The sequence below is a fragment of the Homo sapiens genome, chromosome 8 (genome assembly GCF_000001405.40).
Source record: "Homo sapiens chromosome 8, GRCh38.p14 Primary Assembly".
Classification (NCBI taxonomy): domain Eukaryota; kingdom Metazoa; phylum Chordata; class Mammalia; order Primates; family Hominidae; genus Homo; species Homo sapiens.
This window is the reverse complement of record NC_000008.11, coordinates 6,919,987-6,942,405: the sequence shown is the minus strand read 5'-3', so window position 1 is coordinate 6,942,405 and position 22,419 is coordinate 6,919,987. Positions and strand designations below refer to the sequence as shown.

Here is a 22,419-nt window from a genome sequence, read left to right as displayed (position 1 = left end):
CTTCAGGCAAGCAAAACTGTGGCCAGCAATCCCTTGTTCCTGGGCCATCACCCTTTCAGCTGGTGGCAAATGGACTTCACTGGGCCTCTCCCATCACAGCCACCACCTTCTGCTGTGCAGGAGCAGACACACATCCACCGCACTTCCATTGACTCTTCCAACCCAAGGCTCTTGGTAGAGAAAGGTGCTCTCTTTCTGTGACATTTGCTCTATTACCTCTTGTGAACCACCAGATATCACTGATGCAGATCAGGGCTCCCACTTCAGGGTGGTGCTGGGCAACTCAGCATGGGGGTTAGGGGACCCTCACTTAGCCACTGGCCTCCTCAAGCAACACAGTGGCCTCCTAAAGTCATGCTTATTAAAGTTGTGGCATGAGCACAGACTAAGTCAAATTAGGAAAGGCTCCAGTCCCCCTACAAGTGGTTCATCAAGGGAACCAAGCTCCTTTGAGAGCCTTAACTATCTTAATTCTCAACACCATGGCCACCAGCTCTTCTACAATTGGACCAGACCAACCATGGCACCCACCCTGGTGATCACAGAAGAGTTGAGCTCTTTTTCCCTTATGGATACCATCACCCACATTTTCTGCAATAATGAGACCCCCTCATACCATCACAAGATGTCCACTGTCTCAGCATCAAACATTTACTAAAGACTCGATCGAGGATGGACAGTGATAGGGTTTGGCTGTGTTCCCACCCAAATGTCATCTTGAATTCCTATGTGTTGGAGGGACCTGGTGGGAGGTAATTGAATCATGGAGGCAGGTCTTTCCCATGCTGTTCTCATGGTAGTGAATAAGTTTCACAAGATCTGATGGTTTTATATAGGGAGTTTCCCTGCAGAAGCTCTCTCTTTGCCTGCTGCCACCCACGTAAGACTTGACTTGCTCCTTTTGTCTTCTACCATGATTGTGAGGCCTCCCCAGCCATGTGGAACTGTGAGTCCATGAAATCTCTTTCCTGCATAAATCACCCAGTCTCGGGTAGGTCTTTATGAGCAGCATGAAAATGGACTAATACAGATAGTGAGCTGTGATCCTCTGGGGACTGATGGTCCAGGCAGCTGCCACAGAGCAGCCCTAAGATGCTTCTGCTACACCAGACCTCACCTCTTGACATACAGCCTCCAGCAGAAGCTCCAGTTCTTCCTGCTTTGAAAGGTAGCTAATATCTCCCACTCACTCCTCCCTGAAGGAAGTGGGGATTGTTTCTCTGCAGCCCAAAGAGGGTACAGTCTGGGTCACTAAATGAGGAGAAAAAGCCATCAAACTAGAGGACGCCAACTACATCAGACAAAGACCACATGGAACTACCATCACCATGTCCTGTGTCGATTGCAGAAAAATGCTCTGAAGAAATGTTGGTGAAAGCCCACCCCATAATCAATATCGACGTAAAAGTACCTTGAGGAAATCCCTGAGTTATAAGCTGTCAGTGCTCTCTATCTTTGGCCTTGCTGGGTATCTTATGTATGTAAATGTTGTACGGCTGCTCTTAGGCCTGGGGCCTGGCATCCCAGAGAGCTGCTGGAACAGGACAGCCACTGTGAGAAATTGAACCCCAGGCTGGAAAACTGTGGCATGTTGAGGCAATGTGCTAGAGGGGCAAAACCCCAAATGCCACCTGACCTGGATCCAAGCCAGGAAACCCGATCCTTAGATATTGAATGGGACCCATGGCACTAAAGCTTAAACACCAGCAACCCCCACAATCAGAGGCAGGTGGCCCTCCCCATGACCAGGCATGAATACAAACCAGCTAATGATGCCTCAGCACAAACTCAGTCTGTGGCCGGAAAGGTTGGAGCCTCACATGCAGAGAAAGCATTCAAACACGTTCATGGGCTTAGGGATACTTCTGTGCTCCAAAGTATGTGAGTTGTGGATGGAAATGTCCTATCCCCCGACCAAGGAAAGCACCACTCAAGCTTTCACTAAACGCTTCCATGGAGTCCCACAGAGGCCAGAGGCCTGTGCAACACCAGCCCATACCCTCTCTCTTCTTGAGTGACCAGCTGGAAAGGCCACCCCTACCCGAAAGGCCATCACCTCAGAAGACAGTGCTCTGATCCAAGGGTTTGTCCTGGGAAACAGTGGCCTCACCAGAACCAGAGACACCAAGGAATCTCATCTTGACTGTGGGGTCATCCCCAAACCAGACTCACCTTACTCTCCTTCCTGCCGCAAGGTATGGATCTCACCACCCCCGGGACATGGAGTTGGCTCACGTCCAGTACCTGGACCCGTGCTTTCTTAGCTCATGCTTTCCTGAGGACCCTGCAGATGACCCCTTAGAATGGTATTTTGCTGGGATCCCCATTTGTCTTCAGTGTAACCCATTAGTTAAACCGCCTACTGCAAGGAAACCACAAGGCTTGGATCAGATCAGGAGGCTGCCCTACAAGTTATGCCAAAAAATATGGACTTGGAAGACCTGTCTGTTATAATATCACACCCAAATCTAACCAGCTCTGCCAATAACAGCTCTCTCCTATGTTACTAGGAAAATGCCTATGGATTGGAGTGTGTTCTGTGTGCAGGAGGCTGGTCCAGGTTTCACTTCTGCAGGACACTGGACATCCCCACAACCACCAGACCTTCCCCACGTGCACACACACCCCTTCTCATTTTGCCTCTACATCCATATCCACTGGGCCCTTCAGGCACCTACTAATGCCCTAGAACCTAAAACCATCATCTGGGGCCCAGTTCCCCAAATAGCCCTAATTTCTTCCTCTGCTGGAATGAGTCCAGTGCCCACTTCCTCCAAAGGTGAAATTGCTGGGCCTGCAACAGATCAGGAACTCACTGCTTCCTCATAGGGGCAGCCGACTTCACTGCTCTGGAACAGCGACCACCCCTAGCGAGGCTTGAGATGCCTCTTCCCTCCTTAAGACTGAGAGCGCCGCTGCCCCCAGTCCTCCATAGCCCAGTGCCTGCTGCCTTCACGCAGAGCTGCAGGGGAGGCCCTGAGCACCCAGCCTGCTGGACCAGCGCTGTGCACGGCCCTCCCATGGCGGCAGGGGCTGCCTGGACTGCATACTGGGTTCAGCAACCTCACTATAGGTATTCATTCCCTCAGGAACAACTGCATTCTTTTCTCATTTCCAGAAACCTCATCCCGTTTACCTCACTACAAGGAGGAGGATGGTGGAGAGTGGTACATTTTAAAATGTGCACTAGTCTCCCTGGGACTCCCCTTCAAATAACCCAGGAGGGACCACACAAGGGAAAGCTTATGCATCCCCCCCACCCAGTGACCATCTTCCTAACTCTGGGTGTAGGGAGACTCGTAAGCCTACGGGATTGGTTTGGGAACAGGGTATTTGAGCTCACAACACAAGGTGATGCAAGCTAACACCAATCTCGCTGCAGCTTTGGCCACCATCCTAAGGGACTTCTGACAGACATTAGGTGTCACGCAATCATTTGATGAGTCCTTGGCCTGGATGACCTAGACAGTCATTTAGGCTTGAACTATCTAAGGCCAAGCAAAAAGGTGACTGTCCCCTCTAGGGAACCACATGCTATATGCACATCCTTTACTCGGGAGCCTGCAACCTGCCCTATCCAGCAACACAAGCCCAGGCGGTATTCAGTCTCATCCAGGTATTCTCCAACCTTACTTGTCTGAATGGCTTGGATTTGTTTTTATGGTTAGACCCCAGGGCCTGGGGAGGTCAGTTCAGACCACATTCCAAATCCTCATCTGTGTGTGGGTGGCATTTTGATCCTAGTCTCCTCGCAAGGTGTATACAACAATATGCAGGCCAGGCTCTCCTGGTGGCTTTAAATATTCCCTCGGTCCAGGTAGTTCAGCCTCAGCCACCAGCATAGGTATCATGGGGTCAATTGTCTTAGGAGTCATGAGGAATCCATAGTTGATTGCTGCCTGGGCCTGGCCAGGGCTGACCAAAGTAGACGAGGGGTCGGTACCTCCGTGGACTCCTGCTTGAACTCCAGCTTTCTGCCAAATTTCTCAACTGCCCTTGTTAACAGTTATTTAAAGTACCCAATAGAAAGTAACCCTGAAAAATTAGGACACCTGATACCAAAAGACCCTTAAATAAGGAAGTCCTCTCCTCTGTGTGCATGGCTGCTCTTGCTACATAAGACCTGGAACACAGGACTGCTGTCTGCCCTCTCTGCTCGCCCTGCCTAGCTTGAGGATCTGTAAGTAACACAAAACTTAAACTTTCACATTGAGGTTTCAATATTGAAGCTGTGTCCCCAGTCTGACCTCTCACTGTGGGGCCACCCCAGAGGGACCCAGCGGGTGAAGCCCCTGCTGTGAACTTCTATCTGGGTGTCTGGCGGCTGCTGGGGGTAATGGCTACTAGCTAAGTCAATAGAGAAACTCAAAAAGTTTCCTTCCAAACACACGTGTCCTACTTGACATGTCCAATAAAGACGATCACAGCTTCTTAAAACATTATTTTATTGTGAGAGAAGCCTCTGCAGGTCCTAGGTCTGTTTTTCAATCAGGTTGTTTGTTTTTTGCTATTGAGTTGTTTGACTTCCTTATGTATTCAGATATTTACCCCTTCTACCACGTAGGCTTTGCAAACATTTTCTCTCATTTTCTGGGTTGCCGTTTCCCTCAGTTGATTGTTTCCTTTGCTATGAAGATGCTTTAGCGTTCAATGCAGCCCCGCTTGTCTATTTTCCCATTTGTTTATTGCCTGTGCCTTTGGTGTCATAGCCAAGAAATCATTACTCACGTCAATGTCCAAAGCTTTATCTTTGTATGTGCTTCTCGTAGTTGTATGGTTTCAGGTCTTTTCAAGTCTATGTTGAGTCTTCAATCCATGTTGAGCTGATTTTTTACATGCTGTGAGAGAAAGGACCACGTGTATGCACCTAGCAACTCATGAACCTTACACAACTCTTTATCTCTCTCACTGAGCTCATTTCACCTGTACCCTGATAAGGTCATTGTCCTCTTCACTCTGGCCCCTACAGGAGACTACTCACCCCATTACCTCAGTCGCCCCTTCATGAGGGTATAATGACCTAGAAGCCTGCAATGAGTTACTCTCTACTCCACCGGAATACAGGTCTGGCACCAGTGTTTAGACCTGAAGAGAATAGTAGGGCCCATTATCAGGAAATAAGAGGCATTTGCTCTCTTAAATTATTGAATGAAAGCACTGTTTCCATTCTTTTTAGAATATTAAAGATTTAACCAGGAAATATTAGGTATTTCCTGAAAACAGGAAAAAATGCCAGGGTCCTCATCATCACCATCAACTTCAACCTAGCACAGACACTAAACATAGAGCTTCCTGTGAAGAAAGCTGGGAGAGCAGAGGAGCATTCCAGGGATGTCAAGGCCAATAGGAGTCGGCATCCTCTCTAACAAAATGCACACCTCCTCTCACTCAGAAGGCCAAAGGTTTCTTATCTCTGTGCCTTCTCCCAGCAAAGCTATAAATCCAAGCTGGCTTCTCCCTCCCCACACAGCTGCTCCTGCTCTCCCTCCTCCAGGTCACCCCAGCCATGAGGATTATCGCCCTCCTCGCTGCTATTCTCTTGGTAGCCCTCCAGGTCCGGGCAGGCCCACTCCAGGCAAGAGGTGATGAGGCTCCAGGCCAGGAGCAGCGTGGGCCAGAAGACCAGGACATATCTATTTCCTTTGCATGGGATAAAAGCTCTGCTCTTCAGGTTTCAGGTGAGAGAGGCCAGCATAAAAAAGCTACCGAGTCTAGAGAGACGGATGGGAGATGGGCTCTGGAATCACATCTCAATGGTGGATGTCACTTAGGTGGCTTTACTTACCATCTCTGGGCCTCGATTTTCTTATCTCCAAACTGAATAGAGAGACAAACAAATGTAAGTAGTCTTCTTTCTCCAAAGACTTGATTCCAAGGTATGTCTATAAAATTCGCTAGGGTTAAGATACGGAGAGACAGATTGACCAGTTCTTTCTGGATCTAAACAAGTAGATATTATAGGGAAAATATTTCATTCTGCCAACAAAGGAAATTTTAAAAACTGGAGATGGGCTTAAGAGTATGTTCAGGTGTGTGTCTGATGGGGCAAAAGCACACAAATCAGAGCAAAAGAGAATGAGTCTCAAATCCTGTATGAGCAGCATTGCTCTGTGTATTTATTCCTATTGACTAAGGTTGTTTGTGCTACCGGCACTAATGCAGCCAGCATCACCGGTCAGCCAGCATGTGACTTCTCCAAGATTCCCTTTACCACCCACCGCTGACCTTGGTGCTTAATTTCTCATGCTTCCTCTGTGTTCCCAGGCTCAACAAGGGGCATGGTCTGCTCTTGCAGATTAGTATTCTGCCGGCGAACAGAACTTCGTGTTGGGAACTGCCTCATTGGTGGTGTGAGTTTCACATACTGCTGCACGCGTGTCGATTAACGTTCTGCTGTCCAAGAGAATGTCATGCTGGGAACGCCATCATCGGTGGTGTTAGCTTCACATGCTTCTGCAGCTGAGCTTGCAGAATAGAGAAAAATGAGCTCATAATTTGCTTTGAGAGCTACAGGAAATGGTTGTTTCTCCTATACTTTGTCCTTAACATCTTTCTTGATCCTAAATATATATCTCGTAACAAGATGTCTTTGTTTACACCTCTTTAAAATTTGATATGTGTCTGTGTCAAGACACTAGAAAGCAACTGCCAGAATCCTACATGAATATTTTGGAACAAATTAAAGTTTCAAAATCTAGAATTTTTAAGGAGGAGCCATGGCTTCAGACACAAACTGAAACGAAGGCACAAATGATGCCACTGATCTCACCATCCACTGCTCTGTCTTTTCATTCTGCCTCATTTTGAATGGATTCACTCTCAAAGACAACTCTCATATACTAGGCAAAAGAATCAACGTCAGCTTCCAGTTTAGCTACTCACAACCTCACTACTTCTCGGGAAAAACCACCATCCTCTGCGTCAAAATATTGGAGTTTTATTGAACATGTCCAGGTCACACATTTGCCTTTTAAGACATAGGGTTATAGGAGATCCACTGAAACAACTTTAATTAAGAGGGAAATGGGTTGTTAGCAAAGGCGGGGTGCATGGAACACAAAACACAGCAGCCCACAATGGGATGTCCTCATTAAGAGCACCCTTCAGCCACGTCTATGAAGACCTGGATTTCACACCCATAAAGTCGTCTTCACACCCAGAAAACGCACACACACAAATGCTCCACTACACTTTGCAACGCGCACTCTCTTGGGTTGCCTTAAAGCTGCTGAGAACCTGATTCTGCTGGGAAAATACAGCTTCACCAGAAACCTTACATTCCTGTTGTTGCTGCAGGCTGCGGCTCTGATAACCACAACATCCTGCACATCAGTGAGTGAGCAAGAAACCAGGTCTAGGGAAAGGGAATGAACCAGGAGCGCTCTCTGAGATGCTCAGAGCATTTCCCGGAAAGGCCACAGCGTCCCCTGCTGTCCTACCTTCAACTGCAGCCTCCCCATCAGGCACAGCACACGTGGGGTCTGTACCTTCCTGAGCTTGTCTTCCTCCTCCCCTCCAAGAGAACAGGGTCACTGCCTAACCCGGGTGTCCCTGAGGGCCAGGCTGACATCTTGCTGGGGTGTGATGTGACCTCTCTTCCTGTCTCTCCTCTCTGTCCCTACCCTAGAAACCCACTGTACCTTTAACAATAGTTGAGGATGTCTTGTCAACGGCCTATGAGGACATGATCACAAAGCTCCAGGGACAAGTCCAGCTTGGCCCACAGATTTCTTATATTTTGGATCTAGCAGTTCCAGTTTATGAATCCACTACACATGCTTGGAAAAATACCTTCTCTGTTCAAGCCATGGCTCCTCTTATCTGGAGGGTCATTCATAGAATGCCCCCACAACTTCCAAGAGTGACAGAGAAACTACAGTTTGCAAATAAAGGGACAGTGATTCTAGTAGGATTATTCCCCATTCTTGACCAAAACAATCTGATGGGCCAAGACACAGCTGTGACCACCAACACCAACCACCCACAATGCCCAGAGCCCAGGAGAAGGAAGCAGGTGTTCTCCACATCTACCCATGCAGATTCTGAGCAGGTCTCAGCCCCAGACTGAGGCTCTGCCTGTCTGAAGAGGCAGCTCAGGGGTCCAGGCACCCCACTGAGACACTTCACAGCTGGGGAACCCAATACAGGTCCCAGGGAAGACACAGTGGGTCTGTGATTGACAAAGAAATGGTCCAAGGTCTTCCCCTTGTATTGAAGGTGAAGGTGACATTTTGGGTTTCAGGATGTGAAAGGGGGACAGTCTTCCTTGGGTTCCTGTAACCGCCACTGACTTGAAGTCACGCGGTTCTTGCTGTAACTCTGCATATTGCTCCTAACCGTCCACTGAGTCCGGCTGACTCCATCACGCGGTTTCTGCACTTCCCAGAAGTCCACCTGGCTTGCGCCCTAGATCCTGGGGTCTCTGCTAGAACTTCCCTTTGTCACTGAGGACTTTGCTGATTTCTTAATTTCAAATTGCAACTAGTTCCCCCTGGTGACCTCTATCCCCCTCTTCTCTTTATTTTTAACTGTAGAATTGTAAGCTATCTCACATCTGTGCATTTCATTTACTCTCTGGAACATTTGTCTCCCAACACTGGGAGGGAAGCTGCATGTTTTCCTCATCATCTTACCACAGTGCATAGATGACCACCTAATACGTTGCACATGATCAATAAATTAATTTCAACTAAATTAATTAATTGTACTCAAAATTTATATTGACACAAAATTGAACCCCAGGCTGGAAAACTGTGGCATGTTGAGGCAATGTGCTAGAGGGGCAAAACCCCAAATGCCACCTGACTGGATCCAAGCCAGGAAACCCGATCCTTAGATATTGAATGGGACCCATGGCACTAAAGCTTAAACACCAGCAACCCCCACAATCAGAGGCAGGTGGCCTTCCCCATGACCAGGCATGAATACAAACCAGCTAATGATGCCTCAGCACAAACTCAGTCTGTGGCCGGAAAGGTTGGAGCCTCACATGCAGAGAAAGCATTCAAACACGTTCATGGGCTTAGGGATACTTCTGTGCTCCAAAGTATGTGAGTTTACGAAAAAAATACTGAAGCCTACAGAGGTAAAGCAGCCCGTGTGTCTAGTCCATGTGACAACATTCCTTAAAAAAGACTAATTAAAACTAATTAAAAAGACTAAAATATAGGAGACTATGATGGGTAAAATGTGGTTTAATGAAGCATTAGGACTTTTGGAAGTAGGAAAAGACCATTCTGTCATGGAATGCCAAGGATAGATTTCATGGTGAATCTTAAACTGAAACATAAAGATGTTTAAACTTTCAATAGAATAAAAGAATGATTAAAGCAGAAAATTAGGTAGAGAATGTAGAATCAGGGCAAGAGCTATGCAGGAGGAGGTCAACCTCCATTGAATTAAGAGGAATTGCTGTTGCAACACAGAAGGATGGAGTAGAATTCAGGTTGATGTGCTGAGAAGCATCCATCAATCCAAAGGAAAGGGCCAGACGAGGAAGGAGCCTCCCTGCTCCTCTGTGTGGATAGACACACTGGGAGCACCACATGTGGCTTCTGCTACTGCAGTCTAGGGTGGGCTATGACAGCTGCAAACTCTGGGGACAGAGAATGCAGGGAGAGGTGTGAGGGTCTCCAAACAACCAGGGCAAGTTGCTCAGCCTCAAGTGAGACCCAGAAACGTTCATGTGGATGCACTCTATGTTTACTGATGACATACAAGACATTTTCTACCTTGAATCACTTGAGTGGTAGAACAATAAAGAGTAAGTCAGATGCCTCATCCCTATAAATGTAATTACTCAAGGGGATAGCAGCCTTGTCTCTGTGGGAAGACAGGAGCCTATCTCCTAATAAATTAGCAAACAAAGATTGCCCAATCACACTGCTCAACTTCCCCACCAACAACCACCAGAACTTTTCCACTAGCTTAACCCAGGGCCTACATATTCCTGCCTTGGGCTTCAGGACAGTTGAGTTCAACGGCTCACCCTATTGCAGCGTTTTGACTCTTATTTCAACAGTGTTCAATAAATACTTCCTTGACATTTCTTAAAAGCCTTCTGATTTTTTTTTAATAAAAGACAGCCATTTTTTTCTCTTCTGTTTCTCTGTTTGAGAACTTGAACTCTTCTTACAAGCAGAACCAGAATGGAAGACATCAGACAACTACCTATTCTCTTTTCTAAACCTATGTATTTTTCCCTTTTGCTGCTCAAAGCCACTCAACTCACTCAGAAACTTAAGATTACGGGAAACGGTCTTTCACTGTAATGTTACCTGGCCGGTCACCCTCCCAGCCTCTCAGTGCTTTGTCCGCCTGGATGACAGTGACCCCACTCCCTCTTTGTCCCAGCCCTCCAACCCATGGCCACCCACTAGCTCCTGCCACCACCTGGAATTCCTCCATTTCTGAACATCAACTATGAAGCTCCCCATCCCTGACTCACCCGCTGTCCTTCCAGCCTCTAATGTAGCCGTCCCTCCTTCCCTGCTGATCAGCATCAATAAGGCTGTTCTCCCGGGGGCTGTGCATGGGAATCACCAGGGAGCCTGATACCCAAGCTGCTCTTGGGACACCTGTCATCTGCCCTCAAGCTGCATTGGGACACTTGTCATCTGCTCTCATCTCCTGTCCTTGTGCACGGCACTGTCTTTGCCTCAGGCTCTCCGAGTTTGGTATTTTTGATCTTTTTCAGGCATCTTAGTGGAGTCTTGGAGTAAAACATTAGAAATCAGGTCAAGCTGAGTCACCATTTTTTTTTAAGAGGCAGGGGGCTTGCTATGTTGCTCAAGCTGGTCTCAAACTCCTGGCCTTAAGCAATTCTTCCTCCTCAGCCTCCCAAAGTGCTAGGATTACAAGCTGAGCTACCTTGTCCAGCCCTGAGTCAACATTTTCACTCCCATACCAAGGAATTCTGGCTTTAGGAAATGCTTGGTCCAAGGACTCAAAGCATGAGTTACTTTGTCGTCTTTACCTTTTTTCCCCTTTGTTTCTCTTGATCTTACTTTGGGATCTCTCCCCAGGTGACAGCCATGTCATTCATGGTCATCTCTCTGTGCCCTTCGCAGCTAATCTCCTAGAGAAAATCCCTACTTCTTTCCCTGTTGTTTCAGCCAACTCCTGAGTCCTATGGCCTCTTCTGAGTCTGTTACTGAGGGCAGAGGTTGAGACCCCACCTGGCTCCCACACCACCCCTGCTCCCAGCGGGAAGAATTTAAACTAGGAATGGGTGAGAGGGTTCTTCGGTCACTCCAAACAGTCCACAATCTCATGCTCCCACCATCATGGGCTCTTTGTGACACTTTGGGAATAAGGTAAGAGGATTCAGTCCTACTTCGCCAATATTTTGGAGAAGCAGAAGTTTACACACGCAGAAATGCACAAGTCCAACTTCTCGCCAAGACTGTGACAATGCCCTCTGTTCATCTACTGCTGTGTGGAAAGATATCCCAAACATAGTGGACTGAAACAGCACCATCAGGTCTTCACTCATACCTTGGCAATTTGGGCCTGGCTCAGAGGAGAGGTTCTGCTGGGATCTGAGGAGCTCAGGGCTGAGACACTCGCGCACAGGTGGCAGGCAGTGCTGGCTCAGCTGGGAGCTCTCACAGGGCTGAGGGATGGGACCTTGTGATGCGCTGGGGCCAGATCATGCCGGCTCATGAGAAAGGTGGTTTGTGTGACATTTTTTAAACGGTCCAGAGCTGGGAGGATTCTAACCACAGAAATTTACAAACACTGTAAATCAGAGTTTTGGTTTTTCCCAGAAAGCTGGCTGTTCTGTGTTCTCTAGCTCACCCTCGCAGGTGCCCTCAGTTCATCTTCCTGTGCGAGGCTGAGGCTTCCTCAAAACACGGTGTCTGGGCCCCCAAGTGACCAGCCCTCTTAGTCCGTTTGAGCCACTATTTAAAAAAAAATACCATAAACTGAGTTGCTTATGAACAACAGATATATTTTTCAGTGTTCTAGAGGTTGAGAAGTCCAAATCAAGGTGGCAGCAGATTTGGTGTCTGCTGAGAACCAGCTTTTTCGTTCATAGATGGCACCTCCTCACTGTGTCCTCACCTGATGGAAGGAATGAAGGAGCTCCTTGGGATCTCTTCTATAAGGACACTAATCCTATTCATGAGGTGCCCTCCGGACCTACTCACCTCCCCAGAGGCACCACCTGTTAATGCTATCACCTGGTGGTTTAATATTTCAATATATGAATTTCAGAGGGACAAAAATATTCCAACTGCAGCGCCATCCAAGACGGTGAAAGTGAAAAATACCAGTGTCTTAGCACCTGGGCCCAGCAAACGGCATGGTACTAAGTCAGGTGCATTCTATTGGTGAAGATGTCACCCGACCTAGATCCAACAGGAAAGAAGTAAACCTCCCTTTCTGTGGGAGAAGAGTCCAAGAATTGGGACCACATTTTAAAACAGCCCAAGAGAGTTATTCTTTCATAGTCATTTGTAAAAATTGCTGCAGGCAACAACACCAGACACATAGACAGCATGTGAGAGGCGGCTGGGAAAGGCAGACAAAGGGCAGGGGACTTGGAGCTCCTGCCTGTCCCAGCTGGATCTGCAGGCCCGGGAGTTGCTGTGTGGCACAGGCAGCACCAGGACCCTCCCTGCAGGGAGGTGGACAAAAGGCTGAGGGGAGGGACAGGGCGGTGCACTCTCAGGGGCTGGGAGATGGACAGTTCTCAGAGCTCACCCCCACGCAGCCCCCGCTCTACCCCACGCTAACACACACACTCTGTTCCAAAACTGCCCTTCCACACTGGGTCAAAACCATGTCCCAGGGCCCTGCCCAAGGTCCACACTCACTGTGTCTGCTGGGGTCACCAGACAGCCTCAGAGAGTGTGGGAATATCCTTGCTGCTGCTGAAGGCCTTTCTCCTCTCACACCCACACCTGCACCCCCACCTGTAGCTTCCCCAGGATATTTACCCCAGCTTGAGGGTGTCAAGGCTCTTGTTGAGTGTCTGAAAGCTGAACTGCATGTGTATGAAGGAACAGTTTCAGTTGTGTCTACACTCAGAGTTGACACTGGTGGCAAGTCCAGGACACTGTGCTGGGGGCAGGGTGGGTGGGGGTGGAAGTGAAAGTGTTGCAAAGACTTTTACATGTAGCACCATTTTTTGCTTAAACCACTGATTTCTGCCAAGGTTCTGGTGCAGCCCAGAAAGAAAGGTGAAAGGGACCACGAGATACAGACTCACTCTGTTCTAATTGGGGTTTGGGAGCCACCTGGGGGAGACAGAGGCAAGGCCCAGGTGAGACCTCAGCACAGACTGAGAACCTGACCTGCCCTGGCTGTCGAGTCCCCACCACAGACTGGGAAGGAGGCAGGGACAGGAGCATTGCCACCCAGGAGAAAGAGCAGAGGCCCCCAGACTCAGGTCCTCAGCCCCGCAGCCAGCACAAGGGGGAACGACATCATGACACTAGGTTAGAGACGGGGCAGGCCAGCCTTCCAGGGCCAGCAGCTACCGCTGACACGGAACCAGCAGCAGTGTATTCTGTGCCCCCTGAACTAATGTTGTAATATGTACACTTTGGGGTGCAGAAGAAAGCAATGTGTTTGCTGAACAGCACTTTACAGCGCTCCCATTTGAAGTCCCTCTTGGGTCAACTCCTGTTTAAGGGCAGGAGGGCCACCTGCTGTCCTTAAGGTGCTACTGCAGTGCTGCGCGCCCAGTTCTCTGTAAGGGCAGGTTCTTCTTTACTGGAAGATAGTGTGGGCTCTGCTAGGTCAGCGTCTGATGTGTGAGGACATCTCAGGGTGGAGGTATGCTGGAGCCACTGAGGACAACAGAGACAGCCCTTGGCCTAAGTCAACTTCATCTCGGTGGCATCTCCAAGATGCTCGGTTCTTATTAGGGCTTCCATGTGGGAGTGGGGTGGGGTTAACTCAAGAAAGGCAGTTAACAGAGATGAGGTCCTCGTGACTGCGGGTCACGGTAGGGAGGTTACTTCTCTTGCAGGAGCCTGATGGCTAAACAAGGGGGAGATATACCTGCCTCGATTTTGTGCATGATCATTGAAAGCTGGATCCTAGAGTAAATGGGCTCTTCAAAATAGAGCTTGTGCTTCAGTATTTGCATGTATGTGACTCTAGGGGCAGGAAGGTAAGTAGAGAGAGGGAAAGGAACTACGTGAAGTTCCCTTGTCCCTGACACCCTTTGATGTTCTACTGTTCTAGAAGTTCTGTTTACTTCCAGGCGTTCCGTCTGTTGGCGTGGTGATTGTGGTGACTTTACAAGCTGCGATATGGATCCTGATAAGCCTTCCTGCACCCCATCTGTCTAAACATTTACCAATGCCCATGGGGATTGGTCTGCATTATCTTCTATTTCAATTAAAATAGGCTGGGAACACTTCTTAGTTTCCAAAGATAGAGCATACAATTCCAAAATGCTCCTTTAAGTCAAGACAAATTAGATCACTTATTTACAGAAGTATCTTGTCCTGTTAGCTAGATCAGGGTATCTGAGTAACAGCTCCAGGGTAGGATTTCCAGGTGATAGAGTAATTATTGCCTGTCCCATGAACTACTGGGGAAAGAGGCATAGACAGCTATAAGTCACAATGGACAATTACAGTTTGGGTTGGAGAGGGAAAGTTTAATTCGAAATTTAGATGTTAGTTAAATGGTCATCTCCTGCTGGGTAAATGAAGGCAAAATTCAAATAAATACAGAACAAATGCATTTTTAAATGCCCATAGATTCCCTAACAAAACTGAAACAAAAATCAAGAAAACAATTCCATGTACAATAGCATCAAAAAATAAAACACCTAGGAAGAAACAAGGAGGTGAAGGATCTACACACTGAAAATGAAAAAAAAAAAAATAGTGAAAGAAATTAAAGAATGTAAAAATAAATGGAAAGATATCCTGGGCTGAAAATTGGAAGAATTAAGATTGTTAAAATGTCTATCCCAAACAAAACAATATACCGATTCAGCACAATTCCTATCAAAATCCCCATGGCATTCTTTACAGAAATAAAAAAAAAAATCCTAAAATTTGTATGAAATGGTGAAAGAACCCAAATAGACAAAACAATTCTGAGAAAAAAAAACAAAGTTGAAGACATCACAATTCCTGGTTTTAAATTATATTACAAAGCTACGGTAATCAAAACAATATGGTATTGGCATAAAACCAGACACATACCAGTGAAATAAAATTGAGAGTCCAGAAACACATCGAAACACATATGGTCAAGTAACTTTTGACAATGGCATGAAGAAGACACAATAGGGACAGGAGAGTCTCTTCAATAAATGGTGGTGGGAATACTATTTCCATATGCAAAACAATAAAACTGGACCCTTCTCTTTTGGCATATACAAAACTTAACTCAAAATGGATAAAATACCTGAATAGAAGACCAGAAACAAGAGACTATGAAAATAATGGTAGAGTTCTATATGTTTTGAGCTACAAAGTATTCAAATTACAGCATTAGGGAGAAAAAACAAAGCACAAACCAATGTTTAATTTTTAAGTGGAGATTTCCTGGAGCAGAGCTGCAGGGCTGGGGCAAGGATGGAGGCTCATTACTCCTTTTACCCTTTGAATGGTCCTTGTGGGCAATTCAACATTTTCTAAAATTAAAAATAAAATAAAATTTCAGAGGGGGATTGTGGGCATGTCAATTGTTTCGATGTTTCTCAAAGTGGAGAGAAATACCTAGTACATATTTTAGTTGATACATTCAGATCACATGGGTTTCTTGAAATAAATCTTTTGGCTTTAGTTTTACTAACTCTTTACCTAGTATCCCACTGAGTTCTTTTCCCTTATAGGCTGATAAGGTCATTATCTTCTCCACACTGTGCCCCACAAGAGCCTATTCACCCCATAATCTCAAAGCCTCCTTCATGAGGGCAGAAATGCCCCCTGAATCCTGCAATGAATTAACTCTCTACTCTAGCGGGATCCAGCTCTGGCCTCAAGGTCTAGACCTCCAGAGAGTGGCCAGCCCCACCTTCAGAAAATAAGAGGCATTTGATTCCTGAAATTATTCATTGAAAGCACTGTTCTTTTCTTTTTTGAATATTAACAAGTAAATATTCCAGCAGATGGAAAACAGGACAATGTAACACTGTTCTTATCATCACTATCAGCTGGGACCAGAACAGACACTCAATAAACAGCCTCACACTACAATGAAGCTTGGAGAACAAAGGAGCATCAAAGGGACATGGAGGGCAAGGGTAGCTCTTCTGCTCCCCAATCACATGCACTCCCCGTCTCACCGCAACATCTGTCCCTGAGCCTTCTCCCAGCAGACCTATAAATCCAGGCTGGCTCCTCACTCCCCACACATCTGCTCCTGCTCTCTCTCCTCCAGCGACCCTAGCCATGAGAACCCTCACCATCCTCACTGCTGTTCTCCTCGTGGCCCTCCAGGCCAAGGCTGAGCCACTCCAAGCTGAGGATGATCCACTGCAGGCAAAAGCTTATGAGGCTGATGCCCAGGAGCAGCGTGGGGCAAATGACCAGGACTTTGCCGTCTCCTTTGCAGAGGATGCAAGCTCAAGTCTTAGAGCTTTGGGTAAGAGACACCAGCATTGCAGAGCTAGGAGTGTAGAGAGGAAAACCAAGCACTTCTAGAATTAGATCCAACAGCTGGCTCTTTCTCTTAGGTGATCACCTCCCCAGGCCTCAATTACTTTATGTTTGTACTGAAAAGGAAGAATCAGTGATATTCAAGGCATGACTTTTCTCTAAAGATTTTTTAATTCTATGATAAGTCTATGAAATTTTCTAATTTTTTGCCATGTAGAAATGTATTGAGGAGTCTCTACTTCAAGGAAGAGAGCCTAATTTTAAAGGAATGTTTTGTTTTGCTTTGTTTTGTTTTGTTTTGTTTGATGGAGTCTCGCTCTGTCACCCAGGCTGGAGTGCAGTGGCACTATCTCAGATCACTGCAACCTCTGCCTCCTGGGTTCACGCAATTCTCTCCCTCAGCCTCCCAAGTCACTAGGATTACAGGCACCAGACACCAAGCCTGGCTAAATTTTGTATTTTTTTTTTTTTCAGTAGAGACGGGGTTTCACCATCTTGGCCAGGCTAGTCTTGAACTCCTGACCTTGTGATAAACCCACCTTGGCCTCCCAAAGTGCTGGGATTACAGGCGTAAGCCACCACATCCAGCTGCTAAAGGAATGTTTTTTAATCTGACTTTTATAGGAACCGTTGCAAACTGGAGACAGTCATATGGGTGCATTCAGATGTGTGTGTGACAGGGAAGGAGCAGATAAGTACAGCATATCAGAATGGCTCTCTAATCCTGTGTGTGACCAACACTGCTCTGCGTATTTATTCCTATTGATGGTGTGATCATGCTATTGGCTGTAATGCAGCCAGCATTACATGTCAGCAAGCATGCAACTTCCTGAAGATTCTCTTTACTGCCCGCTGCTGACCCTGGTGCTCAATTTCTGATGCTCTCTCTCTCTGTCCCCAGGCTCAACAAGGGCTTTCACTTGCCATTGCAGAAGGTCCTGTTATTCAACAGAATATTCCTATGGGACCTGCACTGTCATGGGTATTAACCACAGATTCTGCTGCCTCTGAGGGATGAGAACAGAGAGAAATATATTCATAATTTACTTTATGACCTAGAAGGAAACTGTCGTGTGTCCTATACATTGCCATCAACTTTGTTTCCTCATCTCAAATAAAGTCCTTTCAGCAAGTTCTTTTGTGTTTGTGCTTTTCTGGTGTTTGATAATTCAGGATTCTTCAGATGCAAAAACAAAAACCCAAGTCGTATCTCAGAACACTAGCTCTTCGAAAGAGTTTTCTATGTAGACCAGAGAAGTGGTAGAGAGGATGTTGAGAGAAGAGAGGATTTGGGTTTTTTGTTTTTTTGTTTTTTGCTTTCTGAGATGGAGTCTCGCTCTGTTGCCCAGGCTGCAGTGCAGTGGCACAATCTTGGCTCACTGAAACCTCTACCTCCTGGGTTCAAGTGATTCTCCTGCCTCAGCCTCCCAAGTAGCTGGGATTACAGGTATCCACCACCACGCCAAGTAATTTTTGTATTTTTAGTAGAGACAGGGTTTCACTATGTTGACCAGGCTGGTCTCGAACTCCTGACCTCAAGTGATCCGCCCACCTCGGCCTCCCAAAGTGCTGGGATTACAGGCATGAGCCACCGCACGTGGCCTTAGGCACTCTGTTTTAATGTTAATGCTGGCCAGCTGTGCCTGAATTCCAATGGGAGGAGGATATCATGAGGTATTCCTGATCCCCACGTCCCATCATGGCCTGAACCAGTGTTTGAGGTTAACACTAGAATGCCTTGGGCTGAGAGGAGGCGTCCATTCAGTTGGCTGGAGGGCTTAGAATTTTAATCTTGGTTTGAATGGGATACAAACATAGGAGGAAGGAACGTGGGGTCCTGGCCCTTCCGACTCTGGCCAGAACCTTGCCAACCACATGTCCACAAGAACACAGGCCCTCTCTCTTTGCCTTGTCCCTTGTCACTATGTCCAGAGACAAGAGGGTGACAACAGTCCTGGGTATAACAACAACCCTGACATTCATCCAGAGGTCTGGCCAGACTCCCAGTTCTTCTGCCCTTCTGCTGGGTCTTCTTACCTCTTTGTAGGAGAGACCATGTTAAAGTGGCCTATTTTCCAGTTCTCTAAAACACAGACAGAAGACGTGGAGGGAAAGGTTCTCCAAGGCAGGTCTGAACGAGGAGAAACATGGAGTCACAAAACCCATTTCCAAGCCTGACTTTGCCACTTTCTACCTGAATGGACTTGACAAACCCAGCACGAAAATGGAGGCTTCATTTCCTCCTCCATAACCTTGTGGCAGCTGTCTCAAAACTTGACTATGGGACCTAACAGGATTCTTCATAACGGTGGTCAGAGACTTAGACATCAAAGGTGGGGAATAAATAACACAGTCAGATAGGAAGGGTGGGGGGGTGACCTAGCAAGTGGGGGTGACCTAGTGAGTGAGGGGGTGACCTAGCAAATGGGGGGTGACCTAGCAAGCGGGGGGGGTGACTTGACCTAGTAAGGGGGGTGGCCTAGCAAGTGACGGGGTGACCTAGCAAGTGGAGGGTGACCTAGTAAGTGGGGGTGACCTAGTAAGTGGGGGGGTGACCTAGCAAGTGGGGGTGACCTAGTGAGTGAGGGGGTGACCTAGCAAATGGGGGTGACCCAGTAAGTGGGGGGTGAACTGGCAAGGGGAGACGTGACCTAGCAAGTGGGGGGGTGGCCTAGCAAGTGAGGGGGTGGCCTAGCAAGTGGGGGGATGGCCTAGAAAGTCGAGGGGTGACCTAGCAGGATTCTTTGCTAAGATGGGGCTGGACAGACCAAAGACAGACAGGACCTACTTGAAAAGATGGCTCAGAGGAGCCTGACTAAAGTTTGGTCAAGGGCAGAGTCTTGGTTAGCGTTCCTGACCTGAGACCCAGATGATGAAAGGGCTCAATTCGTGCAGATCTCAGGGGCAGAATTCCAGAAATGGAGGCAGGGGAGCAAATGCAAAGGCCCTGAGGTGCTAAGACGGGGTTTGTGCTCGGAGCCACGAAGAAGGCCAGGGATTGGGGGCTGCAGGACCAGTCAGAGCTGTAGTAGGGCCCAGAGCACAGCGGCCTGCAAGGGCCAGGAGGGGCTTCTCAGTGCAATGAAGTCACTGGAGGATGTTCCTTAGAAGAAAGGCATGACTCCTGCTCTGTCTGCTGTGTAGGGAATGCAGTGCAGCAGATCATGAGAGGAGGCAGGGAAGGGGAAGGTGTAGTCTGGGGCTGGATGGGAATGCTCCATGTCACAATGGGGACCGGCGTCACACAGGTGAACACATTCGCCAAAACATACCTGGCTGAACTCCCAAGATTGGTGCTTTTCACTCTGCACATTATGCTTCAATACAAATTGTAAAATATAAAACGTAAGCTTTATGAAAAAGTCCATGAGATCTAGAAAATGAAAATTAACAAGTCAGAGGGAGGAGGGAGTCAAGGGTCACCCAATTCCCCTCAGAATTAAATAGCATTCTAGTGTGCACTGTGCATGTGAAGTGTGTTCTTCCTTTTGTTCCACCTGGCAGGACACGCCTGCAGCAGCGGAGCAGTTCAAGTCCACAGGACAGGCTGCGGTGCCTACTTCAGCCTTCTCAGCTGGGTGTGGCTTGAGAAGAAGGATCCCAGCTGGTGCCACTTCCTTGCTCACCGGGAGTGTGAAGATGGCCACCAGTCACTAATGGAGCAGGTGCCTGGGGGAGGACCTGGTGTAGTTCCCTAGGTACACTCAGGAAACAGGAGTGGAGAAGAAAGTGGTGTCTTGTCTAGACTTGTCTGCCCAGAGACACAGCTAAAAGTGACCACCTGGAGTTTGCCCCAGGACAGCCTGGATGGTGAAGGAGAGGTAGAGCTCACATCAAAGAGACAGGCGCAGGAGCCCCAGGCTGCAGACGTCGCAGCCTGCTGAGCACACCTGAGCAAGCACAGCCGTGCTCTCTCTGTCCTTGCTTCTGGGGGAGCCCCTGTGCCTTCTCACCAGAGCCCCCAATTGCTTCTTTCCCCAGGACCAGACCCTGGCAATAAGCAAATAGAGAAAACACTCTCTGAAAACGGATGGGATCATCGTAATCCACAATGTAAGCACAATGACTCCCCATGTGAAAAGTCCTACCTTGCTCACCATCATTTCCTTCCCCAAGCAAACCCTTAAGACAGGGCTAAACATTCCTGCTTTATGCGAGGCTGGTGAGGGTGCTGCAGTCACCGACTGTGAACCAGCCTGATGTCCATGCTCAGCATCGGGGCCCCCGGGACACAGAATACCAGGGCATGACTGGCGCTTCCAAGGAACCTCAAATACCTCAAATCTGTCTCAAAGCTGCCAAGGGCCAGAAACCCATCCTTGAGGACAAGGAGAATGTGGCTTTGGGGGTCAGACGCCAGAGAACACGCAAACCCGAGAAATGCCTTTTGATGGTTGATGTTATGCCTGGGCCATGGTTCCTGGACAGTTGGACAAACAGTACTCTGGATGTTTATGTAAGGTTGTTTTCAGATGAGATAAATATTTAAGTTGGTGGACTATGAGATAAATATTTAAATTGGTAAAGCAGATGGTCTTCCATAATGAGGAGGGGACATGAATGGAACAAAGACTGACCTCCCCAGAGCAAGAGGGAGTTCTGGCAGCAGGTGGCCTCGGGACTGGCCTGCAGCTCCTCCCCGGGTCTCCAGCCTGCTGGCCTGTGGCTCACCACACCACACAGTTAAGGAATTGGTTCTGCTTCTCTGGAGAACCTGACTAACACGTAGCCTGAGCAAATGATGGGGAGGAGACCTCCCAGGTAGCACTCGATGGCCCCCGAGGTGGGCTGTGGCTGTCCGGGCTTTGCAGGGACTACCTTTATCCCGGCTCCTAAACCTTGTAGACAGTCCTCCACGCAAGACAGCCCTGAAAGTTCTCCAGGCCTCATACCCACCCCTTCCCCTAGAGACATGGTACAGCCTCTAGCTCAGGATGGCTCAAACAGCACGGACCACGTGGCCCAGAAACCCCGCCGTAACTGACAAAGCCACACACACACACACACAAAGACAGCCAGATGGGAGAGGTGGACGGAAGCTGAGAAATATGCAGCAAGGTCCAAGTGTCAGGTAGACAGGGCCCTGGCAGCTGGAGAGGAGGGTTGGCCGAGGAAGCAGAGAGATGTGAGGGGAGCTCCCCACTTGTGGAATTACAGCAACTCAGGGGAGCCCCAACACTGTCTCTGTGGAGACCACAGGACAAGGCAAAGACGTCAGGATGTCCCTGAAGCCCAGATGGCCAGCCCTGAATGGTAGCCTGGACGTCCCTCCCCACGATCCCTCCTAGGGAGTCCCATCCCGGAGCTCACCTGGGCAGAGTGAACACACCTGTCTTTCCTCAGTGCTCACCTCCCTGCACAGGCCAACGGGTAGAATAAGGGCATGGCACAGGTAACCTGCCCAGAACCCAGGTCGACCATGCTCAGGACTAGATTCTCTCTATTCTCACCATTCTTCTCCTGCTAAAGGCAAGGCAGGCTAAGGAGAAATTGAAAGAGAGGTGAGCAAGGGGAGGACAGAGCAGGGGAGGAAGTGAAAGGAGCAGGTGCAGTGGAAACCATTTCACTGGAACCCAGGTCACTCCCCTTAGTAGACATACAATTCAAAATAAAGAGAGCTTGAAGTTACTGGGATCTTCAGCATGCACCAAAGCAATGCTTAGCAACCAGGATTCTGTGTGCCCCTCTGAGGGAACACTAGGGTGAGGGTAACTATTGAATAGACGTACGCATATTCAGGGTTACAGTATTATCTGTATTTGACAAGTGAAAGAGACAAAAAGAAATTTTGCTTTTTGTATTACAAGCCTCAACAATGATTACACCAAATCTCAGCTGTCAA

The 22,419-nt window shown here is 48.0% G+C and overlaps 2 protein-coding genes across 2 annotated transcripts, besides 2 other annotated features; both read left to right on the top strand.

Moving 5' to 3' along the window:
• The first annotated feature begins 4,099 nt into the window (after positions 1-4,099).
• On the top strand, positions 4,100-6,586 carry DEFA4 (defensin alpha 4). Its single transcript, NM_001925.3, has 3 exons — positions 4,100-4,180; positions 5,495-5,678; positions 6,265-6,586. The coding sequence occupies exons 2-3, from the start codon at positions 5,507-5,509 to the stop codon at positions 6,384-6,386; spliced, it is 294 nt and encodes a 97-aa protein (NP_001916.1). The 5' UTR covers positions 4,100-4,180; positions 5,495-5,506; the 3' UTR covers positions 6,387-6,586.
• Positions 4,295-4,364: a silencer, noted in NCBI's record as "silent region_18889". NCBI's record gives its function as "represses an Ori minimal core promoter by ATAC-STARR-seq in GM12878 lymphoblastoid cells {active_cell/tissue: GM12878}" and the evidence as "EXISTENCE:reporter gene assay evidence [ECO:0000049][PMID:35858748]".
• Positions 6,587-16,329: 9,743 nt separating the features above from the next.
• On the top strand, positions 16,330-17,709 carry DEFA6 (defensin alpha 6). Its single transcript, NM_001926.4, has 2 exons — positions 16,330-16,563; positions 17,479-17,709. The coding sequence occupies exons 1-2, from the start codon at positions 16,371-16,373 to the stop codon at positions 17,586-17,588; spliced, it is 303 nt and encodes a 100-aa protein (NP_001917.1). The 5' UTR covers positions 16,330-16,370; the 3' UTR covers positions 17,589-17,709.
• Positions 17,985-18,485: an enhancer, noted in NCBI's record as "H3K27ac hESC enhancer chr8:6781443-6781943 (GRCh37/hg19 assembly coordinates)". NCBI's record gives its function as "activates a minimal SCP1, AML or CMV promoter by ChIP-STARR-seq in naive H9 embryonic stem cells {active_cell/tissue: H9 hESC(naive)}" and the evidence as "EXISTENCE:reporter gene assay evidence [ECO:0000049][PMID:30033119]".

What these genes read in the sequence shown, in the direction of transcription:
- DEFA4 (NM_001925.3), top strand. Translation starts at nt 5,507, where the DNA reads ATGAGGATTATCGCCCTCCTCGCTGCTATTCTCTTGGTAGCCCTCCAG. An exon ending in CTCTGCTCTTCAGGTTTCAG is followed by an intron (nt 5,679 to 6,264) that starts GTGAGAGAGGCC and finishes CTGTGTTCCCAG; the next exon opens with GCTCAACAAGGGGCATGGTC.
- DEFA6 (NM_001926.4), top strand. Translation starts at nt 16,371, where the DNA reads ATGAGAACCCTCACCATCCTCACTGCTGTTCTCCTCGTGGCCCTCCAG. An exon ending in CTCAAGTCTTAGAGCTTTGG is followed by an intron (nt 16,564 to 17,478) that starts GTAAGAGACACC and finishes CTCTGTCCCCAG; the next exon opens with GCTCAACAAGGGCTTTCACT.